Below are 27,169 nucleotides of genomic sequence, written 5' to 3' on the forward strand. Positions count from 1 at the left end.
TTGTTTTTGTTTTTGTTTAAGCCTCTTTCCTCTAGTGGATGCCCCAAGGCCAGAGCCTGAGTCTCACGTTTGTTTTTACCTTTAATTTTTATAACAATACCTAATGCATGTTTGACACTCAGTAGATGTTTGTCGAATGAATAAAGGACAGTCATTATTATATTGCAGTTGTTTTGCAGAAAATATATTAACTGCAAATGGCTTAAAAAAAAAGAAAGAAACATTGGAAAGTCAACTCCTACTGTTTATTACTGAATACATTGTTGGCTGCTTTGGCTGTCTGTCATGTCATGGGTCTTATTTCCAGGGTAAACCCCTTAAAAGCTACTGTAGTACCAAATGGATCGTTTGGATCAGAGACCAATAATATTTACAAGTAGATTCAGAAAAATCTTAAATATAGGAGAAGAAAGTTAGTCACCCATATGATTTCCATATCAGAGCTTTTGGGAAGTAACGGGGAGTCAATTTATTATCTACACAACCACCATGCTTTTATGAAATGCACTGTAAATGGAAAGGTTGAGAAAGAGGGTCTTGAACCAAGGAAGAGCTAAAGAGTTGGGGGAAATGATGCAAATATATGCAGTTGAGGCCTAGTTGAAATTTGAGTTAACCAAGAAGCATGTTTTCTGCTTTGAATCTTTGAATTCAAAATGAAACTTGGGGTTAACATGAGTCATTGTGTGAAAAGAACTCATGTGGTTCCCACAGCTTTTAGGATCCTGAAATTATGAGATATCTTGATCTGCTGAACACTGACTTCACACATAATCTAGGTACAGAATGAGCTGTAAGATCTTGATAGTGTGCAGCAAATACGTGCTCAATTTCCATGTTCATTCATTTATTCCAGGAATGGGTTGCTGTAGATGCTATTTCATGCACTGGACTTGTAACTATGAATTAAATCCACTCGCTGCATTTGAAGCTTGGGGAAAAGTCAAGAGAAATAAATGGATCATTAAAAAAGAGTGCACTTAATAGTGTGATAAGTATAAGCATAAGCTGCTATGAGAACACAGAAGGAGAGTACATAACTGACTCTTGGGGATGGAGAGGACTAAGAATTTTTCCCTGATTAAGTGAGACCTAATGTGGCAGAGTGACCGGAGGTGAGTGGGGAGGTGGCCAGGGTTGACATCGCTCCTAAAGAGCATGACCATCCCTCCCAGCTTGCCCTGACTGTCCCATCAATGGAAGCAAGTATGCTTCCTTGGACCTCTCTTCTTTTTCTTTCTTAATCAGTAGTCACTAATACAGTCTCTCCTCCCATGCCTGGTTTTAACACCATTGCTACTCCCTTGTACAACTAAGAGAAGAGAATCTATCAACTGAAAGTGTGGGTCTGATAACATAGCGGGTTCCTAGTCCTGGGTTTTAATCTTTGCTCTCCATCTGAGCCTTGCTATTTTGATCAGATTTCTTAACTACTCTGGAATTCAATTGCTTTGTTTGTAAATTGAGGATAATAATACAGAATGTGCAGATTTGTTGAGCAAACGACATGAGTAACTATGTGTGAAACACCTGGCATGGTACTTGGGTGAGATCATCTAGTCTGCCTTACCATTTTGGGGAGAAATTTAGGGAAATTGAGGCCCAGAGAAGAGAGCTGACTTGCCCTCACTTCATCCAAAATTTCCAATGCAGACTTTGAGTTGTGAGTGAGAACTTTTATTCACTTTTTACAGATGTAGGGAGGCTGCATGCCCAAGGTGACACAGGTAATTAGTTGGAGTGCTAGAGCTGGGCACCAGTCTTTTTATTCCAACATCCAGGTTCATGTTTAACATCAGAAGTATAGGACAAAAGTGGAAACTACCATGCCTTCTCTCTCTCTCCATCCTCCCCATGCTATACCAATTTCTCTAGACCAAAAACAAAAGGCAGGCTGACTTGTAAGTAGTTATAAGAATTACCCCCCCAGAATCTGGCATGACATTAGGGTCAAGCTAGAACAAAACTACCTCCCAGGCTATATGTGGCTCCACAAAAAGCTGGTTCGAAGGATCGTTGCCCACTCCACCTCTCCAAGACAAGCATATGGTGCACTGTCTCCTCCCTCCTCTACCCTGTTGAGCTTCTGTGACAAAGCCATGCAGAACTGGTTTACGATCAAGCTCTACTGCCACATTTGTGACCTTGTATTTGCCTATAACTCCTCTAAGCCTCAGTTTCCTTAGATACATGTAGTAAACAATTACACATTCTAACTCTGTCTCAGAGAGTTGGAGTAAGGTTAAAATGGGAAAATATGTATGTGTGCTACCAACCATCATATAGAAGGTAAATCTGTAATATTGTTCTTGAAAAAGGATTATTTTTCCAAATATCAAAGGTAGGCTTTAAAAAGTCTTTGTATTATTATTGTTGTTGCTTCTGTTGATTTGAGAGAATTTGTGGGCCAGGTTGTTGTCTTTCAACCTTTACGTCTCTGACATCCTTTGTAAACGTCACTTGTAATAGCTTGAAATTCTTCTGCTCCTTCATCTATAAAATGGAGATTAAAATGCCTGCCTTGCAAGTTTGTTGAAAGCCCCAGATGAAATAATAATCCTGGAACTAAATCTCAAAAATAAGTATCTATATCTGCCCTTCTGTCTTCATTTCCTGGTGCTTAAGGAGACCTGAGCAAAGGAAGCAAATGTGGTTTTAAAACAAGCCAAAGGCATCGTTTTCTACCAAGAAAATGTTAAAGCACCTGGAGGAGCTGAACTGTAAAGCTCCTAATTCTGAGTCTGTAGTTTGGATTGATGGAGCTCATTCTCCTCTAGAACAATTGTGTCTAAATGTGAGCAAAAGCAGGCAGAGGAATGGAGGGACCACTGAGAGATTGTGAGCTGGGAGTGATCAAGGGTGAGGAGTCCCCAGAAGCTACAAGCACAGGGACTGTCCTCTCGTGCTGTTGTAGGAAACAGGCCACCTAGCTTCAGCTGCCCTGCAGGGTGTGGGACAAAGGCAGCAAGTTCCAGCAGGGACAAATGAGGCAGGTGTAGGTTCCTGTGGTGCCCGCTCACCATCATCCTACAGTGAGAAACCATCATTGAGGCCGATGCCTTCAAGCCCATGAGGCCAATGTGGGCTCCAGACAGATTAGAAGAAACTGAGGCTAGTGTCACCCATGGTGACAACTGGTGTTCACCACATGGAGCTCCGAAGGCTGCAGAGGCTGGCTTTTTTCCCAGCGAAAGCCTCATCAAGGCAGGCAGAGAAGCACAGAAATGCCTCAGCAGATCTGTGAATATTAGCATGCAGACAGAAGAGGTCAGGCAGGGCTTATTCAGGTGTCTACAGCTCAGTTTTAGTCTCAGGTCTTGTGTTTGCTGATAACATCCTAGATCATCCCTCTTCCTAGCTCAAAGAATTTTACAAGATGAACCCTTTTCTAATGGTAGCTTCGAGAAAATACTAATAAGCTAAGTGGCCAACTCCAGTTTTTCTCTTTAAGTAGAAACTGAAACCTTCCTTAGATTGTAGGAATGTTGTGGGGAAGAAAGAACTATGTGAGAAAAACAATGGGCTTTACATATTTGCTCAGCAATTATTTCTACTGCCTATGTGTACCAAGAATCTGGAGATATAATGAGCACTGTCTTCATGAAGATAATCAACTATTGGAAAATTCAGACATCAGTCAAATAGTCATACATAATAAGCATGTAATTACACACTGAGACAAGCACTAGGAAGGAGAAGTATCCAGTTTTATGAGACTGTGTAAGAAGGGGACCTGGCTTGGACTGGAGTCAAGTATGATGTCATTCAACTTGACTTGGGTCAAGGAGAAAAGGAGTGGATTGTGGAACAGTTACAGGAGGAGGGACAAGTGTGTGGTTGGTGCTATGGTGGGAGGAGAGGAGCACACCTGAGGAACTTCAAAGATGGCCATGCAGGCACTTTCCCCACCATTACCAGAGTGCAGATGGTGTGGGGGAGTGAATACTAGAGAGCGGGGTGAGTTGAGGCTGAAGGTATGGAGAACAGTCAGACAGCACGAGGTCATGTGCATCTTGTTGAGAACTTGATGTTGACCCTAAGAGCAATGGAAAGTTTAATCCCTTTACTTATTGGCTTTGTGACCTTATAAATAAATCATTAACACCTTAATGCTATGCTTTCACATTTGTTACATGAAGATGGTCATATTAAGCTCACAGGGGATGCAAATAAGAATTCTGAGAGACATAGCAAATGAAATAATGAAGACGATGATGATAATTGTATCTATAGTTAACCTTTACAGAGCATGTTTTGTGTTCTTGGCTCTATTATAAGCAGTTTATCAGCACATAGCTTTTCAAATGGAGCTTTACAAAGGTAAGGCATCTACTAATAGATAATGAAATAGTTTTGATGAAACTAATGAAATAGTTTTTTAAGGTGGGAGGATATTTTCTTTCAATAAACTCTCAGTCAGAAGTTCAAATTATAAGGAAAATAAAGAAAATACAAATAGAGATGTTTACGTCAGTGCTTAGGTCTGTCCAATAATACAGTGTCTTTGAGTTTCAGAATCCTTTTCTCCTTTCTATGGGGCCATTAATTACAACTTGAGGACCACTGGACTAGACAGTGATAATTCTCTTTCTTAAGTTCCAAAGGGAAAAAGGAAATTTCTCTCAATCTAATATGAAGAAAGGATTCAACTTAGAGTATTGGTACATTAAATAGAAAGACCACCAATCTTGGGAAAGTTAGTGAGATTCTCTATGTTTCAGATTTTATCCAACTCATAGGATTATTTTAAGGTGAAAATTAGGTACTAATTAGACATGCATAAATCATAGAAGTTTCTGAGCACATAGAGAGTAATCATTAACTCTTAGATCTTATTATTAGTTGTTGTTTCTGAATCAGACATCAGTTGTATGTCAGTGCTTGCAGCCTACACTGCATTATTTGGAAGTTTTTCACAAAGTGTCAAGAGTCTCATCAGCCCCCACCAGCCTCATGGTTTTCTTGAAGGATGGTCTCTGTATTTCTTAATCTAGCAATTCACCACCACATATGTGCTCGTATTCTCTTTATCTTTGCAGTTAACATAAATATGCAAACTTCCATGGCAAAAACCATTAGACACTTTCCATTTAAATAGTAGTTTCACTATTCCAGCATATTTTCCCAGCTAGAACAGTGTGCGATCTGCTTTTAAGTCCTGATCATCCACTTCTATGGACTCTAGAGTGATGTTTTTGTTGGACCTATTTTTATATAATAATTAAAACCAGACTGTCCTTAATTTATTCATTTCCTTTTACTGAATTACAAATTAGGTCAAATAAAGGACTAGGCCTCTGGAGGGTTAAAAATAATACAAATCCTAGTTTTTGAGGACTCAGGGTCTATTAGAAAAAATAAGATATGTGCATAGATGAGCATAATCTAAGGCAGAAAGTGATTGTTATCATAAAAGGGTTTCAAATAAGTTCCCTTGAAGAGTCAAAGAGAAGGCTGAGGGAATGCTTTGCAGAAAAAAATGGCAACTGCAGTATATGATGAATGGTATTCCTAGTTAAGGAAACAGGGAGAAAATGTACAGAAACTAGAGTGAGAATGGTTTGATGGAAATGGGGTATGAAAATCGGTGGTGGGAAATGAGGCTGACTGGCACGATTGAGGACACATATGGAAGAGTCTTGGTGGTAAGTCAAGAAATGGAGATTTGCTAGGCAAAAGGAAGGCTAGAGTAGTTTTGAGTAGGAGGTCACCGTAATCATAACTATACTTAAGTAAAGAATAATCTGTTAGTGACTTTGAGGGTGAGCAGTGTCTAGAGCACATGGTGTCGGGGAGATGGCATCCCTGACAAATGAACTATAGTGCTCATTTCCTTTTTTTTTGCCCCAGTGGTCCCCATGGCAGCAATGCCAACTTGCAGACCCATCTTCCACATTGCTGATTTTTTAAGCACAGACATGATCCTGTGTCTGTCCCACTCGAAAACATTCAATGGCTCCCTGTTTCCTATTGGATAAAATCATATCTCAGAAGCAAACATCCTAACATCTGCTATAATCAGATGTTCTGCTCTTGCTCCTGAAGAAGCTATATTGCTCAGTGATACAGTGCCCATGGTTCAGCTGAAAGCCCTGAGGGTGATGAAGAGTGAGCTAGGGTAGTGATAATGGAGATGGGGAGGAGGGATGTCTTAGTCTGTTTTGTGTTCTTGTAAAGGAATATCTGATGCTGGGTAGTTTATAACAAAAAGAGGTTTATTTGGCTCACAGTTCTGCAGACTACAAGAAGCATGGCACCAGCATCTGCATCTGATGAGGGCCACAGGCTGTTTCCACTCATGGTGGAAGAAGGGGAACTAGTATGTACAGACATCACAAAGCAAGAGAAGAGGTGAGACAGAGAGAGAGAGAGAGCAAGAGAGAAAGAGACAGGGGAGGTTCTACGTTTTGTTTTGTTTTTTTTTTTTTTTTTCCCAACCAGCTCTTGTAGGAATGAATAGAGCAAGCACTTACTCATGACTCTTACCAGGAAGGGCATTAATCTATTAATGAGGGATCCACTCCCATGATCCAAACACCTCCTATTAGGCCTCCTCTAACACTGGGGATCAAGTTTCAACCTGAGAATTGTAGGGGGTCAAACATCCAAACTATGGCAAGGAGATGCAAGAGATAATGCAGATGTTTAATCAATAGATGTTTGCAACTGGTTATCAACAGTAAAGAAGTGGGAATGATCAGAGGCTGCTGTGATATTACCTACCTGGATGGCTGGAAGGTTCTTATACAATTCCCAGGCAGGTTTGTGCCTGCCTCTTCCTGGAGCGCTGATTGCCAGGGTGTCACAATGGATGCCTTGAGCAGTTGCAGAAGAGTACTTGATGTTTATTTCATGTGTATGACTTCCTTTCGGTTTTCCTCCCCAATTTTTCCCTCAGTCCCCAGGCATGATCCTGAAATGATTCTTAGGTGTGCTGACTGCCGTCTCTTTCTTACTAAAACACTCAACATTCTTTCAGTCCTCCATGACAATGTTTACAAAATTTAAAACATTCTTTGAGCATTGACTATTTGCCAAACATTGTTCTGGGTGCTAAAAACAGAGCAGTGAGTAAGTATGATATGTTTCTGCTTTCTTGGAGCATGCATTCTGGTGAGGAATAATATTCCTCCTCAATGTTCCTTCCTCTCTCTCCATACCTCTTCAGCATTTGTTTAATTCTCCTTCGTTTCTTGTTTTGCCTCAGTGGTTTCCTTGGCACCAGTGCCAACTTGCAGACCCATCTTCTACATTGCTGTTTCCTAAATATAGAGATGGTCATGTGCCTGTCCCACTGAAAAACCTTCAATGGCTCCCTATGTCCTATTGGATAAAATTATACCTCAGAAAAGATATTCTAACATTTGTTATAATCAGATGGCCTGCTCTTGCTTCTGGAGAAGCTATATTGCTCAGGGATCAAGGGGGAAACAATAGGTTCAAATTTTTAAACAAAGAAGATTTAATTCATAGAATTCCAGAACTTTGAAAGGTCAGTAGTTCAGTATGTTTCCCATTCATTACCGCTTGTTTATATTCACACACACAAAAGCTTTGCCACTGTGGAGATGCCAGTGGAGTTGTGGAGCTGGGGGTGGAGGAAGGTTTTAAAGTTTCCTCTGGATGGGAAATAATGAAACTTTCCAACTTTACTTATGCATGAATGAAGGTGGTTTAATGGGCCAAGTGCCGGCTTTGGAGTTACAAAGGCTTGGGTTTAAATCCAGCTGTAGGACTTCTGCAAGTCCCTGACTCGCTGTGAACTTTAGCTCCTCAATTGTCATATGAGGGTGACTCGGCCTATTTTACAGTATTAGGAGGCAGACAGCTCAGATGCCGGCCTTGCTGAGGTCAGGCAGGGCTAGGTTGCCGTAGTTGAATGGCAGAATTATCACCCACATCTGGATGGAAGAACATGTAGAGGTTTTCCAAAAAGAGGGGATTGAGAGAGTAGGCCAGCAATGCCAAACAGTGGGCATTCGTTCTGGGGTGAAAGAGAGAAGATGAAGCCATGGCTGAGAATACAGGAGGTAGTTCGCTAACAGAATTGATGCTCCCAGCCTCCCACGGGGAGTGGGAGAGCTTGAGTAACGCCCAACATCACAGGCAATCTCTTCACAGCTACAATCCCTTAATTCATTTCCTCCCCTAGAGCATATATTTGGATCCCTACTATGTGCTAGGTGCCTGGATGTAAGACGCCTGGCCTCACAGTGGATGGACATCTAGGGGTGTGAGTGGCTGAGCAGAGTGCCCAATAAAAGGGTGGGAGGAGACAGGCCAGAGAGGTATGACCAGGTCATAGAGGTCCCCATGGACTTAGAAAGGACTTTGTTTTTTATTCCAAGTGGAATAGGAATTCTAACAGCAGGGTATGAATGAAGGACACAAGAGTGAAAACTCGGATCATCCAACCTTTGACTTATCCAAGCTATGACATAGATGTTAAATAAACAAAAACACCCAAAATAGATAAATGAAGAAGGGATAGCATGTGCCTGTGCATGCACACTTCCTGGGCCTGTCATGTATCGAAGAGGGTAAGACTTTCTGCCTAAGGAACTGGATATGGTTATATGTGAGCAGAGCATGAAGGCCTGCACTGACCACGCTTCCCAGGCTTCCACGTCTATGGAGATGCATAGGTCTAGAGTAGGCTGAATACTCGAGGGTAAGCTTCCAAGGGCACAGGTGTGATTACAGTCATCAAGACACCACCGCCCCAATGAGTAGCTATCATGTATTGATACCTGATGGAGATTTGTGAGATGAATGATGCCACCAGAACGCAAACTCTGACAACCAAGCCAAAAGCGATGGATCTGTTTAACAAAATGGTTAAATTAACCAGTGACAGCAGGGCTGTCTTATATAGTCTGGCAGGAAGTTCTCTGCACAACTCCAAGGGAAGCTGTGCATATAAACAACCCACACAGCACATCACAGGCCTGAGAGTTGGAGGAGTGCACTAAGTTCCGGTGGGTGTGGGCTGTGTCTGGACCTGTGAGCTTTTCATGGGGGACTGCCAAGGTCAAGTGGCATGGCTGCTGCCCTCTTTTCCATATGTGTGAGGCTTGGGACAGCATGCCTGTGTTTTATTCATGCCCTGTCACAGACATGGCATCCTAGTGGATGAAATGCTGGGACCCCGGTTCTAAAACTTTTTGACTATAAGATTGTTAATTATCCTATGGATAATAGAACCAAGGTGTTCTCCCTTCTCCATCCTCTTAGCCAACTCCTTTCACCCATTCAGACACAATTAAGACCCCATGTCTTTTGAAAGGCCTTTGGACACATATCCCTTCTCAAAGCACTGAGACATGCTGGTTACCTCTGCCGTAGCTCCTACTGTCTCAGTCATTTCTGCTCCCTGAGGCCAGGGGCTGTACTTATTTATTTATATTCCCAAGGCCTGCACCTAATAGATGCTCACCTAATAGACGTGCTGGATTACCTCTGTCATAGCTCCTACTGTCTGTCATTTCTGCTCCCTGAGGCCAGGGGCTGTATTTATTTATTTATTTATTTATTTATTTATATTCCCAGAGACTGCACCTAATAGACGCTCAGTCAACTTTTATCAAAGGAGAGAAAAGTTTTGTATCTTAGGTTCTAATTATGAGTTGAATATATATGCATTCAAGAACTCCCATTTACTGCATACTGACCAGAGTTATGAAAAACAACCCAATATAAATTCTCTTGTTCAAACATTTCTTTCCTTATAATAGCAGATGCCATCCTAGTGGGGACAGGGCAGCAGGCATATTTGAAACGCTCATATGTATAAGAGGAAAATGCAGAGAAATTTTCAAGGGTTCTCCAAGGACTGGTGAGGCATGACCAGCCCAGCAGTTTTTTGTGGCAGAATCTCTGATGAAATCAGAACTTCAAGGTCTTGAACTAATGTTCCATAAATTAGGTGATGCTGAAACCAGAGAACTTTGAAGGGGGGTATTTTTCTTGGGGCAATATCGGGAAACCATGTGTGCCTATGACTAATTCCCCTCCTGTGAACTGTTGGTATTATCTTTGAGGGTTTTCAAGATAAATAAATTGAAGCTGTTGTCAAGTTTTACTAGACAAAAGCAAACAATCCCAGGGTCTTTCATGTGTCTGTACTGCCACAGCGTCACCCCCTACTGCCTTCTTGCTTTGTGGTTTGTTGGGAGAGGAGAGAAGCATGCAGGGCAGGGGCATGCACCCCGCAGAGGAGAGGATACCACAGCCACAACCACGGTCACCCACAAGGTCACGCCAGGATTCCCGCAGTCATGTGCAGTTCCATCAGTGCAGCAAAGTGCCTACTTTGTGCCCAGCCCTGCACCAGGGACCGAGGACACAAATACAAACAGGCACTGTGCTTGCATTTGCCCTTGAGAAGTTACTTGTCTTAAAAATATTGAGAACAAAGTTTACTGATTGCACTGTTGCCACATCAAAAAATTACTCACCAACAGAAGGCCTGATCTACCAGGGATTAGAATTGTAAACCAAAAATAAAATTCCAAGCCCTCCAACTGACTGAATGAACCTTCCTCTTGGCCAATGGGACCCAACTAAACCTGAAAAATTAGTTCAGACCATAATGAGAAGGGGAGGATTGGACCTGCTTCATTATACTCACCTCTCTTTGGAATTCAGGCACAACTGGCCAGGATTAATATTAAAATACAGATCCCAAGACTGACAGACAGACTCTTTGTAGCAATAAGATACCAAATTCCAACCTGACCTTAGTATAGCATCACATCCCAGATGGCAGAGCTCTGAAAGAAACCAAAGTATTTTACCCCAAAATATACTCGTTTGACGTATTTTGAAATGGTCCCATAAAACTGTCTCTTGTGGGGAATACTTACCTTCTGTAGAGAGCCCTCTTCCCTTTCCAGGTCTTTTTCTGATGCTGAAGAGATGGGCTGAGAGTCTAGCACCTTTTAAAGGTCTGAATAGGAAATATTTGCCATCTTTTGCCTCTGGCCACCTATGAGGCTTCATTTACATAATAAGAACCTTGTTCTCTACAACCCCTTATCTTAACCCAAACACTCCTTTCTATTGATCCCAGGTTTTTTGATAATAACTAACTCAACCAATTGCCAATCAGAAAAGCTTTGAATCCACCTGTGACCTGTAGGCCTCCCCCTTCCCACACTTCAAGTTGTCCTGCATTTCTGAACCAAACAAATGTATGCCTTATATGCATTGATTGATGTCCTATGTCTCTCTAAAACATAAAACCAACCTATAATTCAACTGCCTTGGGCACATGTCCAGGACCTCCCAAGGCTGTGTCACAGGTTATGATCCATAAGCTTGGGAAAATAAACTTCTAAATTGATTGAGATCTGTCTCAGATAATTTTTTGTTTACAGAGGTGACAGCAATGGCCAAGTTTCTTTCCTCTTTGGGCTCCAATTTCCTCAGCTACAAGAAGGGACCTCTTAGTCCTTTTAAGCTGGACTCTTGAAATCTTTCCAGTTTAGCTAATTAGACTTTCAAAGAAGCTAGAGATTGTTGAATAGAAAGAATTCAGCTGGTATAGAGAACTGGGAGCCTGTGCTGCTGTCTTCAGGTAATTATGTCATTACATAAGGAAATGAAAACAATTTAAGGATGCTTTTTATCTTTTAGTATTGGCATGGCTTTGACTCTAACACTGAGGCAATAATTTGTGGTCAGTGCCAGATGCAACGTCTCCTTCATGGGCTGCGTCACAAAATCAAAACAGCTGCTTGGAACTAAAACTGATTTTCACAGAATGCCAGATGTGCTAGATGTCCTCTCCTGAGCTACCTGATTCAGTCCTCCTGGGAATACACAGGCATTTCAAATACTAGAGTGAGTGATCTGGGGACGTGACCACCCACCTGCCCCTTCAAATATTTCTGCAGTGTTCATATAGTATGTTTCTGATATTTTTCCTTTATCTTTACATCTTTGAAAACATGGTCCTATGTAGAGTATTCTCAATGACAGTTATAGACTCTGCTGAGAGCAAACAAATACCCCAATTAAAAGTGACCACTTGATTGTCAACTCAGAGCAGCTGTTTCTTTCCCACCTTTACCCAGCATTCCTGGGAACCCTTTAAATTGGATGTGGGTTGGAGACAAGCTGCTCGGGTGTTCAGGGGTTAAACTCCTATACTTGCATGTTGTATTTGATTTAGGAATCATCATCCATGACCCATAATACAGTTGGGGTAAGGAATATGACCACAGCCAGTGGTGGGCTGGCCCATCCCAGCTTTCCTGCTGGGAGAGGGGCATTACAGTGAACAAATGGATATACCCACCAGTATCAGGTAGTGAAGATGTCCCCCCCATGTCTGGAGTGAGAAACCTGAAAATAGGTGAGCCATTTCTTTCTTCTTTCATTCTCCCCTATCAAGGCCTGCTGGTGTGGACTAGTCTTACACAGATGCAGGGGACAAATAAGATGACCATTTAGAAAGCTGAAAGGTGTCTAATAAATTCATGTGGGAGCTTTCCTTTTATATTCGTGCATAACAAAAAGTAAACAGGTTTTATCATTCTGGCATATTAGCAAAAAATTAAATCCTTAAAGCTGAGCAGGGTTCGTACATTGCTATTAGGAGTAGACATTGGTAGAACTGAAATAAAAATAGTTTAAGTATGGGTCAATGATGCCGAGAATTTTTTCATATGATTGTTGGCTGTTTGTATGTCTTCTTTTGAAAAATGTCTGTTTTCAAAACCACAGTGAGATACCATCTCACACCAGTCAGAATAGTTAATATTAGAAAGTCAAAAAACAACAGATGCTGGCAAGGCTGCAGAGAAAAGGGAACACTAATACATTGTTGGTGGGAATATAATTTAGTCCAGCCAATGTGGAAAGCAGTTTGGATATTTCTCCAAGTACTTCAAACAGAACTACCATTTGACCCAGCAATCCCATTACTAGGTATATACCCAAAAGGAAAATCAATCATTTTACCAAAAAGAAACACACACGTATGTTCATCGCAGCACAATTCACAATAGCAAAGACATGGAATCCACCCAGGTACCCATCAATGGTAGATTGGATAAAGAAAATGTGGTACATAATATGACACAGCTATAAAAAAGAATGAAATCATGCCCTTTGCAGCAACACTGGTGTAGCTGGAAGTCATAATCCTAAACAAATTAACACAGAAACAGAAAACCAAATACTGCATGTTCTCACTTCTAAGTGAGAGCGAAACATTGAACACACATGGACATTAACATGGGAACCACAGACACTGTGGACTACTGGAGGGGGACAGGAGAGGTGGGGCATGGTTTGAAAAACTACCTATTAGGTACTATGCTCACTACCTGCGTGACCGGATCTGTACCCCAAACCTCAATATCATGCAATTGTTCCATGTAACAAACCTGCATATACACCCCATGTATCTAACATAAAATTAATTAAAAAAAAGAAAATCATGCATCAGGAAAAGGCAAGACAGACCAATGGATGTTAATGTAACAGAATACAAAATATTCGTTTGTACAGTTTCAGATTCCATAGTTCAATTTGCCTTTAAGAAACTGCCACTTGTTTCGGTGCAGTATCAAAAAAGAATGACCCCAATTATTTGAAAAAGCTACTAAAATACTCTTCCCTTTCCAAATACATATGTATGTGGCTAATTTTTCTTCTTTATGTAATCCAAATAAAGTAATAATGCATCTTATTTTATGAAGAAGCAGATACAAAAATAATTGTCTCGTATTAAACAAGGAATTTAAGAGACTCGCAAAAATGTAAAATGCTACTTTCCTCAATGAGGTTTTTGGTATTGAAAAATATAGCTATTCTTGCCAGGCGCAGTGGCTCATACCTGTAATCCCAGCACTTTGGGAGGCCGAGGCAGGTGGATCACGAGGTCAAGAGATGGAGACCATCCTGGCTAACACGGTGAAACCCCGTCTCTACTAAAAATACAAAAAATTAGCCGGGTGTGGTGGCGGGCGCCTGTAGTCCCAGCTACTTGGGAGGCTGAGGCGGGAGAATGGCGGGAACCCAGGAGGCGGAGCTTGCAGTGAGCCGAGATCTCGCCTCTGCACTCCAGCCTGGGCGACAAGCGAGACTCCGTCTCTAAAATAAAATAAAATAAAAAAAAAATGAAAAATATAGTTATTCTTTATAAAAATATGTTATTTCACAGTGGGTTTATTATTATTTCTTTAATGAGTTAATAAATCTGTCTTTAGAAAGTATGAATCAAGAGCCTCAGAAATGTTAGACATAATTCAGCCTTAATGGATTCAATGTTCACAGCCACTTCTTTCACTGGATGTGTTATTTACATGTGAATCACCATGTTTCTTTTCTTGAAAAATAAGATTACACCATTAGGTGAGATACAACTTAAAATAGATTTTTCAAAAAGAATGAAGTGTTAAAATTTTTCTTTTATCCTTATATACCTGAGAATATGACTGAATATAGAATTCTAGGGTCACAAATCATTTTATTCCAAAGTCCCCCAGCCACTGTTTTATTATTTTCTATTACCTAATGCTGTTATAGTAAATTCTGAGTCCATTCATTATTTTTTCAGTTTTATAGGTGAACTATTTTTTGTAGACACATGTTGGTATCTTTCTTCTTCACAAGGTTCAGCAATTTTTGTTAAAATATGGCATAATGTGAGTCATTCTTTGTGATTTCCTCCTAGAACACACTGAGCCCTTAGGATTGCAGATCAAGATTTTTAGTTCCAGATATTTTTTCACTTACATATTTGAATGTTTTCTGTTTAGTATATTCTATTCACTAAATTTATATTACTAATTATTCAAAAGTGATGGCTGCATTGTCTGTTACTCAGATGTGCTCTTTTAAAAATTCTTTATCCTTTCTCTCCTCATTCTTTGGAATTTTTCTCATTCCATCCTCTATGTCACCGCCTTAAATTTCCATAGTGTCATATCAGTTCTGTTTATTGATGATTCTACAGCCTTCAAAAAAAATCTACACTAGTATTATGCATTCATTCTCTTAATTATTTTCATCATCACTGCTAACACCACTTATCATTCATTTTGTCATTTTCTCTCTGATCTTATATTCTTAATATTTACATTTTATTTAATTGCCTTGAAAATAAAAAAGCAGTAGTCATCTAAAATTTGCTCACCTTCCCTAGAAAACATTCTTTCTTCAAAGAGTGCTCACAGTCTCTTGTTTTGTCCTAGTTTTTATTTTATCTTTTTGACATAATTTTTGCATTGGTCTCATATGGTCGTATGGTCATTGCTTTCCTTCTTAACTTTCTGAACAGAGGCTGTTGCAATTAGGATGGCGAATGGTGAAAAACAGTGTGGTTGAATTGAACATAAGCTGAAGGGCTAGACATCATGGCTTCAATCCTTGTGGAGGTAAGAGAGCTGGGACATCAGACATCAGCAGGTGGCCTTGGCTCCTTTTCCTTCATTTATAATTTTACTAAAATCCTTTCAGAATAAGGGCTGATCACCACTGGGAAATTTAAGGCATAATCTGCCTTTACTCTATCCTCCCATTTTGGGTGGCTAATCCAGCCACTGTAATGTAAAGAAGGACCTTGTGGTTCATAGCTTTTGGTTTCTGGCATCTATGTATGTTTAATATTCCACCTTTCTGAACTTATCTTTACTATCAATCAATGATCTGCTAGGGGACAGAGATTTACTCATGGTTCTTGCATAGCACGTTGTTTCCTGATAGGTGTTCAGAAAAGAAATTTTTTTTAAACTATTCCAGTTTAATTGACTGAGAGACTCAAGGTCACAAGCCCAAATATTATTCAATAACCACATACCACATCCTTGCTGATTTCCATGACATAAAACTACAACGTATAGACATTGGCTGCCACAGGAGAACATGATTTACTGAACCTTCCAATCTGCTGTGAAAGGGAACCTGAAATTTGCTGTAAATTACAAGCCCAAGGATCAGAACATATTCATCCATTTCCCTATGAATTAGGGGAGACTTGGTGAAGATATTTGGCCACACTGGAAAGGGAAATCTTCCCCTTTCTTGAGGTTTTATGCTATGTACTTACTTATGCCAATGTCTCAAACACCATATGTAGATACGTGTAGATGAGAGGGAGTTTAAAATAAGGAAGAATGTAGCAGATTTCAAACAGTTTTTTTCTATGCCATTACATATACTATAGTATTAAAACATAACAAAAAGGAAAATAAAAAAATCTGTTCTAACAATCTGTTTCAAGAATCTTGAAAGATATACAAAACAAATCACTCCAGATGAGACGTATATTTCAGTTCCCACCACCTCAACCCAATAACGACAATCCCAAGGGCCCATGAATGAAGAAGCCAGAAGAGGTCAGCTCATACATCCCCTTCCTTTAGACAGGACTGTAATGAAATCATCGTTGACCAAGGCTGTCAATGGTTCTGGGTGACCAGAGCACAGCAATCATTTCCATTATTTTCCATAGAATGACTTGTGAATTGCCACCTCCTGCAAATCCTGTGGCCTATGATCTGGACCAAATCACATCCAAGTGTCTGATCAGTTCTGAGAGTGGTTGTGGATGACCTTAGTATTCCAGAAGACTGGCTCTGAACGCACACTAGTGCATCCACAATGGGACATCCATGTGTAAAAAGGAGTGAGGAGCTGGGATTCTTCAGTGGCCTCCAGCTTTCATTCCATACAGGAATGGGCTCGTTCATATGCCTCTGAGAGAGTCAGCTTGGAGACAGGCAAGTCTGGGTTCAAATCCTGGGTCCATCCCTAGATGGTTGAGTGTGGTTCCTTTATCCTTTATAACAGGGCCAATACATACTTCACTTGGCCTTTGTGAGGACTGGGGGACTGTCCACCTAAGGCAAAATAAAGACATCATTTATTCACAGTCTTCCTTAGTGATGCACACATGTGGCCTGAGAACTAACATTGATCTTAGCCTTAGGATCCCTTCGTTCTACCACTGACATTAACCCCCATGTGATCTTGTGCATGTCAGTTTCCCTCTCTGAGTTTGATTGACCCTTTAGTGAGATTAATCAAAATTGATCTCCAAGTCACTTTCAGCTTTAAAAAATGCAAAGCTCTACAAATCATTCTGATATTGGCCCCAAAACCACCTCTTGGCACCTCCTTTGCTTCTCTGCAGTTTTAGGATCCCCTTGTCTGATTTCTTATTCAACTCTGTAAGATCATATCACCAGTCTAGCAACATCCTGTCCCATGCCATTTTATAATTTCCTGTTTAATTGCCTGTTTTGTACCCCTAGACTGTGAATTACCTGATGGCAGCAACTGTGTTTCATTTGCCATAGTGTTCCAAGTGTTTTGTCAAGGGCTTAAAACATAGTCATTGTTCATTAAATGCTTTTGTGGATTAGGATTATTAATTTATTTACCACAACATTATTGAACATACCTGTTGGCAACTATATTCTCTCTTCTATGGGCATTGAAAATAGAGGATTTCTTAAGTATTTCTAATGATATGATTTCAGGTAAAGGCATCTTTCCCAGGAAACTTCAACCTTCAATTTCAGTGCAGCTGGCAAAGACATGTTCATTCCACCTATGTATAAAGACAAGAAAGATTTTAGCACCCTTGTAAGGGTAGATTTTCTAATTTGAAATTTATTCATTTGTTAAACTGTTTGCTAAGTGCCAACTATTTGTCATACACAAGACTAGGCAATGGGGAGACAGATACTAGAGCAGAATAAAAAATATCTCAGGATTGGATTTAGCAGCCATTTGAACCTGGAAAAGTCCCTTGAATTTAGTGAGCATCCCTTTTTTATCTTTGAAGATAAAATTGCCTCTTGTATCTGAAGAGGTTATAATGGATATCCTAGGAGATTTTTGATGTGAACTTTATTGGTAAAGTGCAAGTGTCAGATTAACTAAAGGCAATGACAATCCTTCTAGATGTTTTCCTTCTCTCAATAAGCATTGTTTAGATTCAATAGCAGCTTAGAACCTAATATATGTATAATGTTTCCCTCTATTTCAGAGCAATGGAATATTCTCAGAAAATAGACTTGAGAGCAGGTTCTATAACTTCATTTCTCTTTAGTTGCTTCTTCCTCTACCCTTCTACCCCCCAGTTTAGTCTACTCAGATAAAGAATAAGCACTATGTTGTTCATGTTTGTGGTAAGTGAAAACAGTCAACTAATCACTAATTTAATCACTAATTTTTTCTTTGTGTGTATTTGACACTCAAGTTCTTTGCCTTTAATAATGTTTAATCAGCATTTTATGTTTCTTTTGTACCTTTTTTTTTCTTTTTTTTTGAGATAGGGTCTCACTCTGTCACCCAGGCTGGAGTGCAGTGGCACAATCTTGACTCACTGCAACCTCCACCTCCTGGGCTCAAGCCCTCCTCCCACCTCAGCCTCTTGAGTAGCTGAGACTACAGGCATGCACAACCATACCTGGCTAATTTTTGTATTTTTGTAGTGATGGAGTTTCTCCATGCTGCCCAGGCTGGTCTCGAACTCCTGAGCTTGGGTGATCCACCCCCGTCGGCCTCCCAGAGTACTGGGATTATAAGCGTGAGCCACCATACCTGGCCTCTTTTGTACCTTTCCAGAGAAATATCCATGTCAATTATTGACAATCCTCATATTCAGCTTCTTTTAAAGCTGGAGGAGTTGGAGAAACAGCCTGGTCCTCTCCTCTCACCATTCATTTGGGAAAGCCAGGGCTTGACAGATGCTCCCTCCGGAGGAGTGTGTAGTAGGAGATGAAGTCTGGTGTCAGGTAACCTTGGGAAAGTTACTTACTCTCCCTAATCTCACCGATCCTGTGTTCTTTTAATCTACACAATAGAGCTACAAGTTCCTAGTCACATAAATATTCTAAGACTGGCATACAGCAGGAACCAACACAACTCTGTGCCCTGGGGTCGGGTTCCTCAATGAGGAAATGGCGGAGCTGGGGCTGTGATCCAGGACGCTGGTTCTCAAGCCTGCTCCTGTTCCTCTGCCTGTGGTCCTTTCCCTCATTCCCACACAGGCCTGCAGATGCTCAGCACTGGTCCAGAATAGCAACCACCAGGGCATCCTCCCTGTTTTCTCTCCCTTGGAGGGAAGTGCAGTCAATGGGGCCTGGGAACACCTAGATGAGGAGGCACTGTCATTTGCAAACACTTTTTTTTTTAACTTTAATTTCTTGCACGGAAATCAAAGAAATATCATTCAACTAACTTCATAATAAGAGGCAAATGCAGTTTCCTAACCCCAAAATCTCCAGAGGATGAGTATGAATTGATGTGCTAGAATTTGAAGATGGAAGGGCCTTGACTTTTTATTATGAGTGTGATTAAATAAATCCCTCTGGCCACCTCTAAAGCCTCCTCTAATTCTGTCTCTGCCTAGGGACACAAGATCATTTCTTTTCTGAGATGATCTTCTGTACAGCCTTTCTGATATCTCCACATTTGCCTACTGTTTTCTTTCCTATGCTTTTCCGGGAAGTCTTTTTTGTACAAAATTAACATGGGTCTGTTTACATTCAGAAGATTCTTGGGGTGGGGCATTACAATTGCTTGGTTAACCGATCAGACCAATTCTTTCTTTGTATGATATACCTTCCTCATGCACAGCTTCTTCATTTCTGGTTTAGAATAGTCATTGTATCAACCTGCTTAGCATGCTGACTTTGCTTAATTAGCATTGAGGGGTGCAAACCACTTAATTCTCTCACACTGCAACTCACACTCACTGCCTTCAGTTAATTCCTTAAAGATGATGAAGTGGAAGGCAGGGAATATAGAACTCCCTGCCCCCACCACAAATCTAAGCAAACAAGGATGGGACCAGGAGGAAGAACCCATTTGTGTGGGTCCTCCACAGCTGCTGGCTTATGTATTCTTCAGTGTGCCGCTGCAAGGTATAAATGGTGCACATCATTTTGTAGATGAGAAGCGGCATACAGGAGAGGCAGGATTTGGATCTAAACCTGTACCATGAGGTCTCTCAAACTTGGAATGGGAGGTCAGGAGCCACGTTGTTTTCTTCTCTGTATCCTGGGTGCCTGTTATCTTACGGTAGGTGGTCAGTAAACCTGTAACTAATGAATGAACATCTGTATTGGTAAAAAGACACAGGTTACTATTGCTCTTCAAGTGGGGTGGGGATCCGTAGCCAGTAAACCCCAACCCAAGGCCACTTACTGTTTATGAGACTTAACAGACTTGCGTGTGGAGAGCACCCTTCTGACCTCATTGTTTACAAAGGATGTCAAAAGATGTGGCTAGGGTTAGAGTTATCTTAGGAGCAGAGCTCTGGGTAAGAGTCAGATGATCTTTCTGGGCTCCCGGCACTAAGTTTTATATTTGAGCACTAGTTTCTAAACCTCCACATGAAACCAGCTCTCACTGTGCTGCCAAGCCTGAGACATTAGGGACTGAAGTTCCCTTGTTCCAAGAGGATGAGCTTTGTCAAAGGAGGATGAATAGACTCTGCTCATGTTTTGGCTCCAGCAGCCTCCTGCCTATAGAAGCGTTTTCCTTCACTGGGGCTAGGCTGAACTTCATTTCAGAGAGGCATAAAAAGTCTGAGATCCCCAGGGGATCTGGCACAGGAAAATGAAGTCATTTTACATTTGTGGCGTGATTCAAATTGGAATCACACAAGTCAGAACGACAGGATGCTGGAGTACTTTGTTTAGCTCTTCTGTGCTTCAGGAGCTAAGCTTTCTTCAGCTTCCTGGAGAGAGGAAGTGGGTATGTATGGAATACCCATTTGCTTTCTATAGTCTTCAAGGTCCTTTTCCCTTACGTAAAACACCAAGCCTAAATCTTACATTCAGCTTTTTAGAAGGCAGAACAAGCAGCCATTGAGCTCTTGCTGTGGGACTGACCCCGCCTTCTGCCTGATGTCAGTGGGGATACTGCTTACCTTCCTTCCTGCAAGGAAATCCACACACTCTTATTTCATCCGGCCTGGGGAGGAGGGGAAAGAGGAAGTCACCTGTGAAATTGTCTTTGCGCTTTGGACTCAAGCCCCCAGGTAGGGCAGTAACAGGTATTCTAATCTCTGCAGGTCTCCTTACCTTCCTGTTTGGTCTCGGGTGGTTTGTTTTTGACCTACGTAGCTTATGGGTTTTCCCTGCTTGGGCTGCTGCCCCCTGGGTCCTTCCCCTCTCTCCCTGCAGCCTTATGCAGCAACAGCTCCCTGTGCTTTCCCTTCCCTCCTCCTGCTGCTGCATCTCTGCCTTCGCCCCTAGCAGGTGCTCATTCGTCACATCACATATGCTACCATATTGAATAAGCACAACATCCCAGTGGGGGTGGGCTTTGTAGAGAGGAGTCTGAAGTGCAGAGACAATGAGTGAATCACTCAGGCTTGCAAAGCTGGTGAAACAAGGATCCATCTCTGGTCGGCTTACAAATATTCTCCATGCTCCTTCCACTAACTCATGATACGCTTTAAAGTTTACAGTTTATTCTGTACCAAACGTTAGCCCAGCTGTCTTAGTCAGCTTGGGCTGCTGTAACAAAATACCATAGATTGGGTGGCTTAAACAACAGACATTTATTTCTCACATTCTGGAGGCTGGGAAGTCCATGATCAAGGTGCTGGCAGATTTGGTTCTGATGAGGGCCCTCTTCCTGGCTTGTAGAGGCAGCCCCGTCACTACGGGCTCACAGGGCATTTCCCCTGTGTGTGTTCGCACAGAGATCTCCTTCTCTCTTTTCTTCTTATAAAGGTATTAATTCCATCAGGAGAACCCCCTTGTGATAACCAACCTAAATTTAATTAACTTCCATAGGTCCCACCTTCAAATACCAGCACATGAGGGGTTAGGATTTCAACACAGGAATTTCAGGAGGACACATTCAGCCCATAACACCAACCAGTTTTATTTTTACCATCCTCTGGAAACAAAATAAGGAACTTGTAACATGTTCTTCCCGGGCATTAGATGATCTGAATGTGTCACCCTCAAACTCATATGTTGAAACTTGATCCCCAATGTGACAGTATTTTTAAGAGGTGGGGCTCTTAGGCATGATTAGGTCATGAGGGTGGAGCAATGGGATTAGTCCTCTTATCAAGGGGCTTCATGCAGTGTCCTCCCCTTTTTCTTTTTTGCCCTTCTGCTATGTGAGGACACGGTTTCCCTGTGAGGATGCAGCAAGAAAGCACCATCTTGGAAGCAGAGATCCTTCACCAGGCACAGATTCTGCTGGCACCGAGATCTTGGACTTCCCAGCCCCCAAACTATGAGAAATAAATTTCTTGTATTTCTAAAGTACCCAGTCTGTGGTGGTTTTCATATAGCAGCATAAATGGACTAAGAAAAGGATGTTCCTGGGGGTCACCAAGTATCTCACCTGTGTGGTTCCCCATCGTGATAGTTGGATTCAAAGCTGAAGGTTGTCACTGACTTCTGGGTTCTCTCTGCTTGCCTGTCTAGGGCATTAACTCTGGAAATACTTTGTTTCTTTGTTCCCAACCATCCATCTCAAATCTCTTTCCCTGCTTTCTCCAAGGATGTTGTGCAGGTCTTTGTGCAAATAAGAATTTCAACCTATATTGGATAAGCCATATTTACAGAGGTGAATTTGATTTGTAGATATGACCTTTTCCTTGCCCAATGACAGTACCCTGAGGTTGAAGTCTGTTGCTCAGAGAATTTGGATGCACTAGCTTCTCCAAATATCTGCTCATCCACACAGCAGAGGGATAAGAGGAGACCAGTCTGCTTCTCCCTCTTTCCAATCCCTAAACCTTATAATTTGTGTACAAAGGAACTAATTTTGAAGAGCAGAAGGTCAAGGAAGACTAACAAAAATCTATCTTTTTGAAAGAAAGCAGCACTGGATTTAGGTAGCCATACAAATTGTCCCAAGTGGTGTTCTACTCCAAAATAGTGTGCACACCTTTTTAGCCCTACAATGAGTTGGTGGCTGACTGTGCCAAGTGCCTGCTTGCAAAGCTTTCCTCTGGAAGGGAGCCCTGGAAATGCTGAGCAGTGGTGACCCCACATTGCCTTTGGGGGCTGAATTGTCACCAGCCACAAAGATAGATCCTTTTACCTTTTGCATAATCCAGACATGTGGTTTGGAAGAGAAATAATTCATTTAAATCTCCCCTGCCTCTCAATTTTGCATAAAGTAAATTCAATTCCATTCAATTTGCACAGATTTACTGAAAATGTACTCAGGGTTGGGCCCAATGTGAGGTGTTGTGGACACAGTGGCACATAAGACACTGTTTTGGCCCTTGAGGAGCTCATAGTGCAGAGGGAGAGACAGTCAGGTAAAAAATGACATGGTACAGAGATGAGTCACTCTGTTGTGGCAGTGACAGTATAACTGTCCAGTGGGTTCTTCTTGCCCACTGCACAAATAAAGAGCATGACGTTGCAGTAAAGGAAGAGTTTAATGGATGGAAGTCTGGCCATACCACGTGGGACATAGAGTTACTACTCAAATCAATCTCATCCAAGGCTCGTAGGTCAGGGGTTTTTCAAAGACAGTCTGTGGGAGAGGGTGGGGGTGGCCAGGTAATGGGTGTTTGCTGCCGAATCGGGGCAGAGATGAAATTACAGGGGGTCAACAGTGTCCACTTGAGCTCAGTTGCTTCTGGATGGGGGTCATAGGAGCAAGGGTCAGTGGGCCCAAGTAGAGCCATGTGTGTCAGACACGCAAAAAACCTGAAAAGATAGCTCAATTGGCCGATCTTAGGTTCTACAATAGTGGAGTTATTTGCAGGAATGGCTGGCAATCATCTATGTCTACACCTTACCAAAATTCAGATTCCCCTTCTCCCCCAGGTGATGCCCTTTCATTCACTTTACAGAGGTAGTTGAGTTTGGGGGAAGGCCTATTATCATTTAAACTATAAACTAAATGTCTCTCAAAGTTAGCTTAACCCAAAAGCCCAGGAATAATTAAGGGAAAGGCAAGATAAGGATGGGTTTGATCAGATCTTTTACTACCATAATTTTGTTACTACTATAATTTTTGCAAAGGTGGTTTCAACAGGATAGCCTGCGTTGACAGGGGAGGGTGTGTAAAGACCCTGGAGAAACCAACAGAGGTGGCCTGGGGGCAGCCACAATATCTGAGGCTTGGAGAACACAAATGTGTTAACCCAGCAGGCCAGAAGCAGTGTGGGTGTGAGGTCAGATATGTCACAGGCAGAGAGAACACATGCTATCAGCAAAGGCACAGAATCTGAGAGTCCAGCACGCCAATGGAACAGAGTGTGGTGTGTGGAAAGAGGGGCACAAAGGGAGGCAAAGCCCAGGATCGTGGATCAAGGGTGATCCATGCCATGACAATAAGGACAACTCCTTATTGTCATGCAATGCTTCCCAAGATTTTATTGACAGGGCAGAGACACAATCAGAACTGTGTATTAGAAAGATGTCCCTGGAAGCTAGGGATAAGAAAGTTTGCAGAGTGAGGCTCAGCAGGGAGCCACGGACTTAGGTGGGAGGCTATTCCAGGTATCCAGGAGAGAAATGGGGAGGCTCTATGGAGAGTGTGGGAGTAGAATGAGGCTGGCCTTGAGGAATGTCAAGAGGGCAGGACTGACAGTTACCACCTGGACGTGAGACACTGGGCATGGGAAGAGTGCTGCCAGGCAAGTAAGTCTCAGATCAACACACATGCGTTGCTAAAGCTACTGACCAAGGCTCTGGCCAGATTGATGGCCTCCTGGCGGTGGCCTTTACTGCTCCCCTTGTACACCTGAGGCAGAGTTACTTACATTAATGTCTGTGTCTCTTCCACTGCCTTTGCAAACAGATCCCTGAGTTCTAAGTGAATCAGAGCCTGCATGGTACTTTTCCTCTGACTTCAGACTAGTCATACATTTTGGAATTCTTCCATGTTGAACTTTCACATCCTGCACAGAACACTCGGGCCCTGAGACAGCCCTACGCCATTTGGTGAGACCTTTGGTGAAAAGTCAAGGTCTGGGTTTATGACACAATATTTTTTCCTGGTCTATTTATCCCTGGCACAGTTCAGAGCTGGCCTATTGGAACAGGAGGTTCCAGCCTTCTCATTCACCTGGGCACTCTCTAACCTCAAATCAAATTCTACTGTCTCCCAGATTACATTCTGAGTTCCTAAATATGTGGGGAAAAATACTCTCAAATGCCTCCCTAAGAATACACACAGTCATAAAGCTCACGTACATTCAAATTGCTTTTTAAAAACAAAGACCGTGAAAAACCAAAGCTATAAAAGTATGTGAATCATCAACCCAGAAATCATGCCTCAAGGCACGCCTGACAGCATGTTCGTTCCCGGATGCTTTTCCTTCACAAATTATGGAGGCTGCCGACATCCTTCTGGGGAAAGGATTATCTGATTCCGCAGGCAGTTAAGAATAACATGTAAATGTCATTTAGATGAGCTATTTCTACATGGATCAAAAGACACACTCAAGTTACCAACTATGATAGCCAAACCCTTTATTTCAATAAAATCAGAGCAAACCCACAAAACTCTCCCAACTGAATTAGCACCATTGTGGTGTGGGAGGCATTCAGACATTCCTTCCAGGTTAGTAGACTATTTGCAATTCAGCTGTTTTACTGATGTGCATGTTATATAACTGCCACCAGCCATGGGGGAAGCTAGAATCCAAGGCGTCTCAAAATTTTCCACTGTGTACTCAAAGCCAACAGGAGAGAGTGAATGAATACTCCCTTGCTTTATGGTGACATAGCTAAAACTGTCTTTCCAGTAAATACCAGAGTGAGAGGCAATGTAACATAGTGGTTATATTTATGGGTTCTGGGGTAGAGTGTCTTGGATTTGAATCCCTATACGTTTGGGAGCTGCGTGTCTTGGATAACTTCTGTTGCCTCTCTCAGTTTGGATTCTTGTTGGCTTCAACGATTTTATCTTCCTTATTGAGTTACTCTGAAGGTTAAGTTAATAGATGTTAATCCTTAATATATGTTAAGTTCCTCTATTTAAGGGCTCCATAAATGTAAGCTATTGTTTTAAAACAAAACTGTAAGCTCTATGCCTTGTTTTAATTCAGGCAATGTTGCATTTTGCTGTCTCTGTGTCTCTAATACAAAATAATGTTTCCCTCCAAATTTCCAGTAGAATTGACCCTCCCAGGAGAGGTACCATATTTGTGCCTGGATTTGCATAAAACCAGGTTCACTGCCACAGATTCCAAGACTGACCTCACCCTAATGTGAGAAGCACAGTCAGACTGAAGAGAAGGCAGAGATGCTTCCCTACCAAGGCTCCTTGGAGATTTATTGTTGTTTATTTTCTAGATAACTGAGTAAAAACCAATTTTTGTAGGTAATGTTACCATGGAATGGATTACCTAGTTGCTGTAGTTTAATGGGTAATGTCTAGAAAAATATATGTCTCAAAGCTTTGTTGTTTCTAAGGAACTTCACTGGTGACTTTACTTAGTAAGTCAGCACTATGTAGTACAACGGTCACTGTCCAGATCTGGAGATGAAGTAGGTGGAGGGAATTGTGGTGTATGTTGCTTATTACTGTCAAAGAACACTGGCTTCAGAGTCAGGAAACCCGGGGTCTAGGCCTGCCTTTCTCTTGACTTATTCTGTCATTTTGCACTTAGGATTCAAATGCAGGTGCATTGATTCTAGAGCTCATAACCTTGGCTGTTTCTTTATACATCTGATTAAAAGGCTGTGACTACACTGCACATGTCTTTTCTGAGCTTGTGATAGGCCTGCTTATCTCTGCTGGTTTTTACTTTTAAGAAGCCACTGGATTGTTATACAATCAGTAAACATGCATGCTCTCCGTAAATCAATCTGGATCTGCATCTGATCTTTTTCCCAATCACTGGTCGCGCATTTCTGACTGTGTATTAGAAACTCAGTTCCCCATTTGACCTTGTGTTTTCCCACCAGTGGTCACATCTCATGTATGTGACTTCCCCTGTGACTGGCACCTGGCAGGGCCATGGTAAAATTGGTTTATTACCCAAATGCATGAAATCATAAGTCTCTGTACCACTTAAATGAAATGACAATTCTAAATACAAATTTAATTCGTTTGTACTCAAGGAACAATGCCATTTCTATGAACAAGACTAAAAATAAACTGTGAAATGATCTTTATCAGTCAAGAATAAACAAAACAAAACATTGACTACAATCACATCGCTCCAGCGCCAGCGTCATCATTTCAACATCTATTTGGC

General features: G+C 41.6%; 1 long non-coding RNA gene across 1 annotated transcript in view; it reads left to right on the top strand.

Annotated features, from left to right (window-relative positions):
* The window catches only part of MIR3681HG (MIR3681 host gene), a 571,233-nt gene that overhangs the window by 286,280 nt on the left and 257,784 nt on the right, over positions 1-27,169 (top strand). Inside the window, exon 4 of the long non-coding RNA NR_110196.1 lies at positions 15,293-15,389. This is a non-coding gene — a long non-coding RNA (MIR3681 host gene). The remainder of the gene's footprint in view (positions 1-15,292; positions 15,390-27,169) is intronic.

This window comes from Homo sapiens, chromosome 2, assembly GCF_000001405.40.
Source record: "Homo sapiens chromosome 2, GRCh38.p14 Primary Assembly".
NCBI classification, from domain to species: domain Eukaryota; kingdom Metazoa; phylum Chordata; class Mammalia; order Primates; family Hominidae; genus Homo; species Homo sapiens.